We start from the raw sequence: 13254 nt of genomic DNA, 5'->3' as shown, positions 1-13254 counted from the left end.
CTTATATCCAGAATCTACAAGGAACTTAAACAAATTTACAAGAAAAAAAAACCCCATCAAAAAGTGGGCAAAGGATATGAACAGATACTTCTCAAAAGAAGACATTTATGCTGCCAACAAACATATGAAAAAAAGCTCATCATCACTGGTCATTAGAGAAATGCAAATCAAAACCACAATGAGATACCATCTCACACCAGTTAGAATGGCAGTCATTAAAAAGTCAGGAAACAACAGATGCTGGAGAGGATGTGGAGAAATAGGAATGCTTTTACACTGTTGGTGGGAGTGTAAATTAGTTCAACCATTGTGGAAGACAGTGTGGCGATTCCTCAAGGATCTAGAACCAGAAATACCATTTGACCCAGCAATCCTATTATGGGGTATATACCCAAAGGATTATAAGTCATTCTACTATAAAGACACATGCACACGTATGTTTATTGCGGCACTATTCACAATAGCAAAGATTTGGAACCAACCCAAATGATAGACTGGATAAAGAAAATGTGGCACTTATATACCACGAAATACTATGCAGCCATAAAAAAGGACTGAGTTCATGTCCTTTGCAGGGACATGGATGAAGCTGGAAGCCATCATTCTCAGCAAACTAACACAGGAAGAAAAAACCAAACACCTCATGTTCTCACTCATAAGTGGGAGTTGAACAATGAGAACACATGGACACAGGGAGGGGACCATCACACACTGGGGCCTTTTTGGGGGCAGGGGGGTAGGGGAGGGATAGAATTAGGAGAAACACCGAATACAGATGACAGGTTGATGGGTGCAGCAAACCACCATGGCACGTGTATACCTATGTAACAAACCTGCATGTTCTGAACACATATCCCAGAACTTAAAGTGTAATAAAAAAAAAAAAGCTGTCTAGTTTCATACCATTATTCCTAAGTTCCATATCCTACCAAAGTAGTTTATCTCAATAAACTTGGTTTAAAAGAAAACCTAAAAACCTCTCTATCAAAATATGAGTATTAAGAATGATCTGAATATGCATCATGGTACATGAAGCTGCTCCACAGCAAGGAGGTGGGAGGCTAAGAAAACACCACCTCGGTAGATAAGTTAACATTTACCAAATGCCTAGTGGATGCACAGCTGCTTATTGATGAATGTCAGCTTCAGCATCTTGGTGAGAGTGCGTCACATTTCTTTTTTCCTAGAAGAATCTCTTTACATATTTCATGCTTTTGGAGAGGCAGGTATGTCTCCATGATAATATACATGTAATTAGCTCCTTAATGTTACCAATCTATCATGGAGACATTCCAATTTACATTATACACAAGCTCACTATTAGTTTCCTGAGTTAGGTGGTACGGATTCTGATATAGCTAGTAAAAAACCCATAAAATATGCATAAATCCTGTCTAATGACTGAAGTTAAATATACCTCAAAGAATGTTCTATCATTAAAATTCACATACATTTTTCTTACAAGGGAGTTATTCTGCATTGTAGCCTGTGTTTTATTACAAACTTGGAGTTCATTGGTGAACTGTGATAGAGCTGCAAATCAAGTCAGCGGCTTCATTAGCTCAGCAGGATTTTAGACGGCATTTCTCCCTTGGTGAGCAGAAGTTAGAGGGTAGTTTAGGACCCAGAGCTTGGTTACTGGGCTCTGGGCAGTCTCTCCCATGGAGAGGGCCCCTCACCTGAGGCCCTCTCCCTCAGGAGAGTGCTGTCTGCAGTACTCCAGAGTGTAGGTCTCCGTGGCCTCTGGGGTGGTGGGCCGCCATCGGATAGTGGCTGTGTTCCAACACACAGTACAGTCCTCAGCGCGGATCACAGGGGTGGAGGGTGCTGCAGAAAGAGAGTCAGGACAGTCGTGGAGCAATGCCAGCTTGCTTTCCTGGGACCTGAGAAGCACGTGATCTTCCACGGCTTCGGCATGATTCTGTTTTCAATTTTTCATCAGAAAGTGTATTCTGTGTTAAAAACCCAAAAGGGATCAAATATAGATGGTGATGTCTCTCTCCCTTCTCTGCCTTCCACATTGCCCAGTTCTCACCCATCCCCAAACAGCCCCTAATAGTAGCTTCCTATAAATCCCACTAGACTTTCTTTATACATATACAAGCAAATCAAAATAAAGATTCTTTCCCCTGTCCCAGTACACACAAGTTAGCCATGATCTTGTCCTCAGTAGGTGCTCAATAAAGGCTTGTTTTAAAAGGCAAGAGGAAAGGATAAAGGGTAGGAGTAAACTATTTCTTCCCCTGAGGCAGGTTACCATTATCTTAAAGGCAGTGCAGCCTTGGTTTAGGCTTCTTACCCTGTGAAAAGATTTCATCGTGAGAATGCATTTCCAGTTAAATACCACTGCTTAAAACCTTTTGGGGGTTCCCAGCACCCACACGCAGCCCAAGCTTCTTACCTTGCAAACACGGCCTCTCTATGTTAGCCTTTCTTATCTTGTCTTTCCTTTGTTTAAGTCTAAGAAATAATACCAAACTTCTTACAGTGTCCTGCACACTCCATACTGTTTCTTGCCTTGATGCCTCTGCTCATGTCTTTTTCAAGTGGAATATCCTCCTTTAACGCATTACTTCCTATTGATCCTTTAAAGCATTTTCTGCAGGCATCAGTTCTAGGAAGCAGTTCCGATCCTGCCCCTGCCCCAGGCCAACTTGGGTGCCCCTCTGGAGTGTTCTCATAATAACCTGTGTATATCTGGATATGGCCCTTACCACACATTTTCTATGATCCTCTGTTTTTCCATCTCCCCACCTGAGCATGAGCTTCTTGAGAACAGGACCCCAGGCTTAAGTCATCGTTGTATAACCAGCACTTTGCACAACACTCAACACACAATAGGTGCTTAATAAACACTTACTGGCTGATCTCAAGAGTCTGTGAAGAACTGAGCGTTGTCTTCTAATGCACCCTTAGCATCCATCTCCTTACCTGTCCTAAAGATGGCCCTTTCACTGGGCAGGCTACATCCAGTGAAGTTCACAGCCATCACCCACACTTGATAGCATCGGTCAGGTTCCAGATCTTCAAAAATGCAGTAGCTTTCTTTCACTGTCAGTCTGTATTCTTCTACCAACTCTAGCATAAGACACAATTAAAATCGAAGACATCTTCCAAAGTTAATTAAAAGTTATAGTTACTGGAGAAAGTCATCTATGATTTTCTTTCAGTGGAAAATGCAAACTGATAACCTTACAGATACCATTATGTGAAAACCAGCTCCTTAGAATACATGTGAAAGCAACAGCATTCTGAAAAGAGATACTTAGGATGACATAGTAATACTTGTTAACACTTCTCAGAAAATAATAGCATATTAGTAAGATTCTGAGCTTCATATACCACAATTAAAGTAACTTATTTCAGTAGCGAATATTAAAATTACATAATGTATATGTTAGCTTAAATCTCAGTAACACATTCTCAAGAAAATCTTAAGAACCAGTGCCAATATTTCAGAAGAGTATGTCATAAAAAAAGGACAACTTCATGGTTTTTAAACATCTTTACAGATTAGTAAACTATTTTGGTATTCAGTATGACCTTCCAGGTTTCAAATCCTGGTTTCTTCTCATGAATTCCAGAATTCTTTCCACTAGGGATTTCCACAATTTATAGAAATACTTAAATAACTTTGATAGGTCATAAGCTACTCTAAGAAGTAACTTTGTCCAATTAAGACATTTGCCTTCAAAAATTTTAAAAAATATCTTACTTTGAATATTTTAATAGTAAACATTATCCAATACCATTCTGAACAAACCTACCAATTTGGGCCAATTTGATTATTCTCACTGAAATTTTATCTCCTTTAAAACATATGATTTTCTTTGTAAATTTTGCCTATGGTAATTTCAGTTTCCCCCCCTTATGACTCTTGAATGTCACATCTTCAAAACTTTTCCACTTAAGAACCCAGACTGTTTCTTTAAAAGAAAATCGGGAGCTCTTCAACTTAGCAGGCTTCTCAATTGCCTCTCTCCTTTCCAATGAGCTGTACTTTCTGGACAGAAAGTTCAGTTTAAAGAACCTCATAAGGACCTGTACACTGAAGAATATTTCTCCCATATCCCAGAATCTGTGTCTGCAATTTTCACTGGAATCATTCTTTTAGGCAAGGTCCTATGATATGGTTTGGTTCTGTGTCCCCACCCAGATCTCATGTTGAATTGTAATTCCCAGTGTTGGAGGAAGAGCCTGGTGGGAGGTGATTGAATCATGGGGGTGGACTTCTCCCTTGCTGTTCTCATAAATGAGTTCTCAAGAGATCTGGTTGTTTGAAAGTGTGTAGCACTTCCTGCTTTACTCTCTCTCTCTTCCCTGCCAGCCATGGGAAGATGTGCTTGCTTCCCCTTCACCTTCTGCCATGATTCTGTCTCCTAAGGCCTCCTCTGCCATGCTTCCTGTACACCTTGTGGAACTGTGAGCCAGTTAAACCTCTTCTTCATAAATTACCCAGTCTCAGGTATGTCTTTATAGCAGTGTGAGAATGAACTAATACATCCTATTACCCTGGCACTCCCTTTAACAGTGTACATAACATATGTGACTAGAGACCCTACTAAACATGACATGGTATCACAGACTAGATTATCAGATTAGCTAACTGTTATTAACACAGTTCAGGGCACAGAAACAATGAGACACAGGATAGGGAAGTGTTTGGGGTGGGGGTGAAACCCAGTAAAAAAAAAAAAAAAGCAGGCCAAGCAACAACTATTTGATAAGAAGGGTCTCAGAGAGCCATGAAATAGAGCTAGAAATAGATGGAGATGAAGTATGGTGTAACAAAACACACACAGAGACAAACAAACAAAAGAATAAACTTTGGAGCCTGAAAGATGTGTGTTTGACTCCTGCCCCCGGTCATGTACAAGTTGCAAGGCCTTGAGCAAACTATGTAACCTCACATTAGTTTTCTCACTTGCAAATAGGGATAGTAACACTTACTTGGTTGTGCTGTGACAGGCATATGGAAATAGGTCAATAAAACAGGAGTCATGACATTACAGACAGATTTAGCCAACTTTACACCATGCCTATAATTGCTTTTTTAAACTTTTTTCTAAATTAATTATCACATGACATTTCAAAAGACTTAAATATTAGTAATAGTATAATATATTACCATTCATTCCTGATTACAAATTGGGCACCTGAGTTAGGACGCCAAGCCTGCCACATGCTCATCTGTTTTCCATAGTATGTGGGTCTGTCTTCAACAAGCAACACAGAATGGCAGCACTCCCAGCTCTGATTCATCAGGAAGCACAACCTCAAACTGCCTGGCTTCCAGGGCTTATTAGAAGTCCTTCTGAGCTGAGAGATACTTACAGAGGCTCAGCTGTAAGACATACCATCCATTCACCCTACTAAGCACTTTCATTTCTATCCACACATTAATTTGGGACACAGGAAGACTACACCATACCTAGGCCCACGCCCTGGGAACTGTGAACACTGAATGAATCTTGTGGCTTGTTGGTGGCTTTTAGCAAAGACAGACCTGAGAAACTGCCACCCATGACATCCCATGCTTCATTTGCATTCAGGTCATTGTGGAGCACACTGTCCTCTCTATGGCTTCTTCCCTAAAAGTGGAACACGTGACACTTGTCTTTCAGGCTTTCGTACTGTTAAAAACTTTATTTTCCTTGAAACTCTGGTATGTTACCTCCTTTCTCTAAATGAGAACCACTTCATTGCTCCTGTTATTCTGAGAGCTCAAAGCCAAATGTGAATCTCAATTACAATATTTGTGTTGACTATTATAATATTTATGCCATTTTGTTTTCCCTGATCTTGATTCCCAAATTTTGCTTCTGTAGTTATTATTTCATTATATGGTTGTTGGGGTTTTGTTGTTGTTTTGTAAATGGCTATAAATGCTTTGTGGGAAGAGTCATAATACAGGTGTATATTTAAATACTTCACATGAAGATGCATGAATATGCATATGCATTTGTATTTGTGTTAGCAATCCTACCATTTACTTCTTGATCATCTTGTGGCTCCTCCATGCAGTAAACCTGAAATGAATCAATGACATCTTCCTTGTTCATGCTCCAGTAAACTGCAATTGTTGTGCTGGTGGCAGAATTTGGTTCCTGAGGTTCTAATCTAGGAGGCTGTGGAACTGGAATATAAACAAGTTTTATTGTAACTAATGCTGTTTTTATTAATTTTTTGGGCACAAGTTACTTATGCTTGTTGAAAAATATTCAAAGAATACAGAAATACATAGTATAAAAGTAGAAGGGCTCTCTTGTTCCCCCAAACCCCCAACCCCAATTATATTTTTTTATTTTTTATTTTATTTTAATTTTAACTTTAATTTAATTTTATTTATTTATTTTTGAGACTGAGTCTCACTCTGTCACCCAGGCTGGAGTGCAGTGGCACGATCTCGGCTCACTGCAACCTTTGCCTCCCAGATTCAAGCGATTCTTCTGCCTCAGCCTCCCAAGTTGCTGGGATTATAGGCGCCTGCCACCACACCTGGCTAATTTTTGTATTTTTAGTAGAGATAGGGTTTCATCACCTTGGCCAGGATGGTCTCGAACTTCTGACCTCAGGTGATCCACCCACCTCGGCCTCCCAAAGTGTTGGGATCACAGGCATGAGCCACCACACCGGCCAATTTTTTTTTTTAATCTGTTGAGATGGAGTCTTGCTTTATCACCCAGGCTGGAGTGCAGTGGCGCAATCTTGGCTGACTGCAACCTCCGCCTCCCGGGTTCAAGCAATTCTCCTGCCTCAGCCTCCTGAGTAGCTGGGATTACAGGCCTGCACCACCACACCTGGCTAATTTTTGTATTTTTAGTAGAGGTGGGGGTTCACCATATTGGTCAGGCTGTTCTTGAACTCCTGGCCTCAAGGATTCCACCCGCCTCAGCCTCCCAAAGTGCTGGGATTACAGGCGTGAGCCACCGCGCCCAGCTGTATTCTTTAGATGCAATCACTGTTGAATGTGTATCCCTCCACAATATTTTCTATGCATTTGTACATGTGCACATATATAATACACACAGAAATAAACAAAAATGTATTCCAAAATGGGATCACTTGAGAATACTCTTCTACAGTCCTATAGTTGGAGCAATAAACTCATGTAGGTTAGAGGAGGCAACAACTGACTTGCTTATCCTTCAAAACAAAACACATGCTTTGCTAGATAGCCAAGGTTGTATCATTCTGTATCAATATAGATTCTATATTCACGATAGAGGCAAATGAAACCCTTTTAAGATATAGTTGGTGTATCTTCAAGCCAGAAAAATACTTGCAAAAATAAAATATCAAAATACACTTTCTGAAACGACTATCCCATTTTTTCTTTCCAACATGGCTAGCCCTATCAATTTTTTTAATTACTAACTTTTTAAAAATTAAACAAAATATATAAAAACTACAGAAAAAGTAGCCTACTGATTCAGCATACATTTTAGACACCTAGTATAACTCCGTTGTTCTGAATTTTAATGACAACAAAATCCTTGGATGTTTTCCTAGAAACTTGTAAAGTTCATGATTATGCGTACAAACATTAATGGTATATGCAATGCCATAAATCAAACTTCTATGCAATTCTCCCCCAAAACTTATGACATAAAATCTTTGAACATATTTTACAAATTAGAGGAAAAGGTTATTCCCATAGTTGAAAAAATAGCATGCTTTTTTTTTTTTTTTTTGAGATGGAGTCTTGCTCTGTCACCCAGGCTGGAGTGCAGTGGTGCAATCTCAGCTCACTGCAACCTCCACCTCCTGGGTTCAATCAATTCTGCTGCCTGAGCCTCCCTAGTAGCTGGGATTACAGGCGCCCACTACCACGCCCAGCTCATTTTTTTGTATTTTTAGTAGAGATGGGGTTTCACCGTGTTGGCCAGGCTGGTCTCAAACTCCTTGACCTCAGGTGATCCGCTCGCCTCGGCCTCCCAAAGTGCTGGGATTACAGGCATGAGCCACTGCACCTGACCCAATAGCATGTTTTTACATTTATTTTTTATGGGTTTTTTTTCCAGTCAACAATTTCCTGAGAGATAAGTTTACTGAAATATTAATAATATGGGCCAAATTTTATGAGATTACTTTATTAAAAGTGGACACCAAAGGAAAAGAAAAATAAAGATCAGTTCAGCAAGAAGGTACAAATGAGAAAAACACAAATGGGTCTAAAGAATGTAGCAAAAAGAGACAAACTGAGAAGATGCAACAGCGATAAAGAGCTGAAAAAATACACAGTTGTGAAAAACGAGAAGCAGAAGAGGAGAAGGGTCAAGTTCATGGACTTCAATGCAGAGTGGCTGGCCCAAGGTTAAACACCAGATCCATCCCCTCTGTTATCTCAGCCTCAGTTTCCCCATCTTTAAAATGAGAAAACAATAATAATAGTATTACCTCCCAGTGTCATTATAGGAAGCAAATAATATCTATCGAGTGCTTAGCAAAGTGGCTGACAGATAACCAGTGCTAACATTCAGAAAGCAAAGGGGCCTTGGCAGGAGCACAGGAAACAGAGGGGCAAGGCAGGAAGCTCCTGAAGATGAGGGCTGAAGGAGGGACCCATCATCTGGAAAGCCACAGAGGCCACAGAGGTAAGACCTGAGGAGCGAACTGCATGCTAAGGCAGAGGCCGCTGGTGAGAGCACCTCCCCAGGAACTGATCACGGGTCAGAGACCCTGATACTGTCTTGGAATTTATTGCTTGTCTTCCCAGCAGGAAATGGATGTCACATTCTAAATAAGTCTGTCCAGAAAAATGTAGTTCAGTAAATTTTCATGTTACCCAGGTCTATGAAAGGACCAAGCAGAATGTTTCAAGGATTGTCGATCATCTTTGAAGCAGTATTTGAGAATTACTTGAGGCATGAACAGTGAAAATGCTCCCCCTTTTATCCTATGAATTATACATGGAGCTGTATCTGCTTTTTAAAAATGAAAACATCTTTCACATTTCTCTCTCTTTCTCGGGTAAATTAACAAACTTAAAAACTGATTAATTGATCCAAGAAAATCACTTAATTTCAAGGAAGAAGCAAAGTATGTAGGTTAGAAATTTTGTTTTAATGTGCTCCTTCCCCCAAAAGCATTAAAGGTAAAACACCTTTTTTCAGAAACAGGAAATACTTTTACTTTTCAAAGAATTCTAAAATGAAAAGGGAATAAGAATATTCCATAGATATAATCTAATAATAATGGCTGGATTTACAATTCTTATGTGGTAGAACAACATCAGAGACCCGGAGTTTAGCAACTCTGTTTACACTTTTACAGTAATAAACTTGAATAAGTATGATGCTGGCCGGGCGCAGTGGCTCATGCCTGTAATCCCAGCACTTTGGGAGGCCAAGGAGGGCAGATCACTTGAGTTCAGGAGTAGGAGACCAACCTGGCCAACACAGCAAAACCCCATGTCTACTAAAAATACAACAATTAGCTGGGCATGGTGATGCACGCCTGTAATCCCAGCTACTGGGGAGGCTGAGGCATAAGAATGGCTTGAACCCGGGAGGCGGAGGTTGCAGTGAGCCGAGATGGTGCCACTGCACTTCAGCCTGGGCGACAGAGTGAGACTCTGTGTGGGGAAAAAAAAAAAGGTATGATACCAAAAAATACCAAAATGAAAGTTTAGGGCTTCATTATAAGAGGCTAAGGAATTGGGTAGAAGAATCACCCCTCTGCCTGATGAAATGTGCCCAAAAAGAGCCACCACACTGGGGGAGTTAAGCATTAACCAAACTGGACTTTGGAATCTGTGACCAGATACAGATTTCCACTCAACCTGGCCTTTGGAACGTCCTCAGGGGAGCAGCATTATTCACAATAGCCAAAAAGTGGAAGCAACCCAAGTATCCACCAATGGATGAATAGATAAGAGGAGGAAAAGTTTCACGTTACAACATGGTAAGCTTTGAGGATATTACTCTAAGTTAAACAAACCAGTCACAAAAAGAGAAATACCATATGATTCCACTTAGATGAAGTACTTAGAGTAATCAAATTCACAGAAACAGAAAGTAAAATGGTGGCTGCCACAGCCAGGAGAAGGGGAGAATATGGAGAGTTAGTGTTTAATGGATATAGAGCTTCTGTTTTGCAAGATGAAGAGTTCTGGAGAGGATGGCAGTGATGGTTGTACCACAATGTGAATGTCCTTAATGCCACTAAACTGTACAATTAAAAATGGGCAAGATGGTAAATTTTGTTATGTGTATTTTACCACAATTAAAAAAAAAATCCCCAGGTGCCAGCATCAAGGAAGCCTAGATTCATGTTTGTTTATCATGATCTGTTTCTCTCATCTTTCTCAGCAGCACTCTGCCTTTTCGCTGTGGGGCAGACTCTGAAGCCAAACTCCCCTGCCAAACACACCCCAACCGGCTGTGTTTTCTTGAAAATAGAACATTTTTCTGTTCCTCTCTTTCCTCACCTTTCCTCACCTGTCAAATGGGAATAACAAAACCTACCTCCTTGGGTTATGGTGAGATTAGATGATTTGATATGCTTAACGGTTTCCACAATGCCAGCCATCGTATAAGCATGGAATAAATCGTATGGGCTGCTACTTCTCATTGGAAAACTCACATCCTTTTCTCATTGTATCTGCTTAGTTTAGGTAGGGGGTCATCAGATCAACTTTTCAGGTCACAGGTGAGGACTTCTGAGAGGTGTCACCAAATGCACAAAAACTACTTAGCAGCAAGTCAACACCCTGGGCTCCAATTTTGTGAAACAGACGCACAAAGTAACATTTATGGCTCTGAGATCAGTCTCTCCATAAAAGGCTTCCAGCCACAGGGACCGCCATGTGCACTTGCTGAGTTAATTGTTAACACTTTGTGACATTTTAACTCTGTGACCTCTAAAATATATTAAACGTCCTCTCATTGCCCATTAAGTATTGAAAAGCATATCCTCCTAAATGAACAGTGGCATATAATGAATCCCTTAAAAGCAAAAGACCAGCTCTGTTAATCAAACTTTCTTAGTTTGCAATCACTGTCCTAGTCTAATCCCTCTTAAAGACATTACAAGAAAACACTTTGAGACATTTCTAGAGAAAATCCATTAAGATCAATGATTGAGTTTTTAATTTTATAAAGGGCTGGTGGGGTTTTGGGTTTTTGTGTGTTGTGTGGTGTCGTGTTGTTTTTGTCTTTTTAGACATACAGTAGCCTTTTTAGTAGTTACTAAATTAAAACTCTTTGTACAGGAATGAATGTTAATCATCAATTTAAACACAACAGCCATCTTTTTTGTTTTTGTTTTTTGGGGTTTTTTGTTGTTGTTGTTGTTGTTTTTAGACATGGGGGTCTTACTATGTTGCCCAGGCTGGATTCGAACCCTTAGGCTCAAGTGATCCTCCCGCCTCAGCCTCCTGAATAGCTGTAATCTTTGAGGTGATTTTGGAAGACTACAGCATCTTTTAAGGAGGACACCTGAGCATGTTGTACAGTAAGAAAAACTTGGTAACTTCACTGAAACATGGCAGCTTTGAAAAATCTAAATAAGTTTCATTGTCCTGTTTGTTAAAATAGCACATTAAAAAATATTGTGAAGAGCTGGCAGGATGCTTCTGACAGCTGAGTGGGAGGCTCCTGGCTACAGACCATGGTGCTGAGCTGATAGTTCTCTAAGCTCATCTGTTTAGTTTGAAAAAAGGGGAAAAGAACTGAATTGAAGAGGGGAAAACCACTCATAAAGAGAAATCTGTTTGACACGTAGGAAAACATTTGACTTCTTTTTTCTTCTATACCTGGCTGCTGGTATGAGGCAAATGAGAAGAGAGGGAGAGAAATCCTATTTTTAAATTAAAGAAAAAAAAAAAGAGGAGACCCTTTGGTTCCATGGCTCCTTCCACCTCCTCAATCTCCAAGCAAGTCATAAAGCTTCAGATGGAAATGCACAGAAATGGGATGTTCCTCCCATGCTCAATTTCAGAGTCTAGCTGTAACATTTTACAACTAATACTTTTCTTTTTCCAGTTACATGTCTTTACACTCAAAATCTTTTGTATATATCATTACATACAAAACAAACAAGCAAAAACTGCCATATTTCATCTAGGTAATTAATATATTAAAATGCTTACCAGCCACTTGTTTTAACATCTGGTCACTTCTTGCCGAGCTGTCATCATAATGTTCGAAAAGGGAAAACGCAGCAGGCATTTTCTCTAAAGAAGCAGTGCTCTCCATTGCAGAAAGCAACCTATCGGGGAATAGAGCTCTACATAAGTTAAAAAATTATTAACATACAGAATGAAAGTGAAAAAAATTGTTCAAAATGAAGCTGGTGTTGGTAGTGGTGGTTTGCATAAGGCAGGGCCTCTCACTCTATCCAAAAAAGGATTTAAAGCTTTAAAGTCTTGAAATATATGTCTAAAATCTATTCTTAGGCAACTGGTAATATTGGAAATTTCATTCCTATATCCTCTAGTTAGAAAGATTCTATCAAGCAATACAGTCTTAAGTGTTTTACCTATAAAGTTGGTCCTAAAAATTACTTCATTTTAGGGATTATTTTCTTTATTTCCTAAAGGGAAAGGATTTATATCCAAAGCCTTTCATACCCACTGAGGCTTCAAAGGATAAAAATGCTAAGAGCACATCTAGAAACTTACACACTGCAGATGTCCTTGTTCTCAAACCTCGATATTAAGCTTCTAATCATTTTGTCATTCAAAACATGTTTATTTACTATGTCCCAGGCATTGTGCTAGGTACTGGGGAAAGAGCAATGAGAGGATAAAGCCTATCATTCGTAAAAGACTAAACAAGCCACAATTTCTAAATCAACAGCTTTATGGACTCAACACCCTCATTAGCTGGAATGCCAACTGATGCTAAGTCTAAGTATTTGTATCCAGATGAAATGTGGATTTAAACAAACAATGACAAAAAGGCTTCATTTCCATGGATGTCTTGGTTTTCCCAGCAGACCCACTGCACTTGCTGTTGGAACTTTGTTCTCCCAGACACTTGCTCAGCTCCTTCCTTGACTTAATTTAGATCTCTGTTCAAATGTCAGCTCCTCAGAGAGTACGCTACTAATACAGCCTTGCCTGCCCCCTCCATTCTTCACTAGGCTTTGTTTTCCCCAGACTTATCACAGCCTCTTCGGTTTTTGTCCGTCTGCTTCACCAGAATACCGTTTATATGCAGGAAAGGACTTTATTTTGTTCACTACTGTATTCTAATGCATTACTTGGCACATGGTGGGCATTTAATAAACATATTTTGAATAAATAAG

At 39.8% G+C, this 13254-nt stretch overlaps 1 protein-coding gene across 3 annotated transcripts in view; it reads right to left on the bottom strand.

Moving 5' to 3' along the window:
* Positions 1–13254, bottom strand: part of CMYA5 (cardiomyopathy associated 5) — a 110387-nt gene that overhangs the window by 35334 nt on the left and 61799 nt on the right. Inside the window, exons 6-9 of one of the 3 annotated variants that reach the window (NM_153610.5) lie at positions 12095–12213; positions 5987–6136; positions 2932–3078; positions 1680–1827 (exon numbers count right to left, since the gene is read on the bottom strand). In NM_153610.5, coding sequence (NP_705838.3) covers positions 1680–1827; positions 2932–3078; positions 5987–6136; positions 12095–12213 — 564 coding nt within the window. Of the gene's footprint in view, positions 1–1679; positions 1828–2257; positions 3079–5986; positions 6137–12094; positions 12214–13254 lie in introns of those variants that run through there. The other 2 variants (XR_001742036.3, XM_047416911.1) reach the window with 2 other exon arrangements.

Source organism: Homo sapiens, chromosome 5, assembly GCF_000001405.40.
Source record: "Homo sapiens chromosome 5, GRCh38.p14 Primary Assembly".
Classification (NCBI taxonomy): domain Eukaryota; kingdom Metazoa; phylum Chordata; class Mammalia; order Primates; family Hominidae; genus Homo; species Homo sapiens.
Note: the sequence above shows the minus strand (reverse complement) of the source record. Positions and strands in the feature narration are given on the sequence as shown.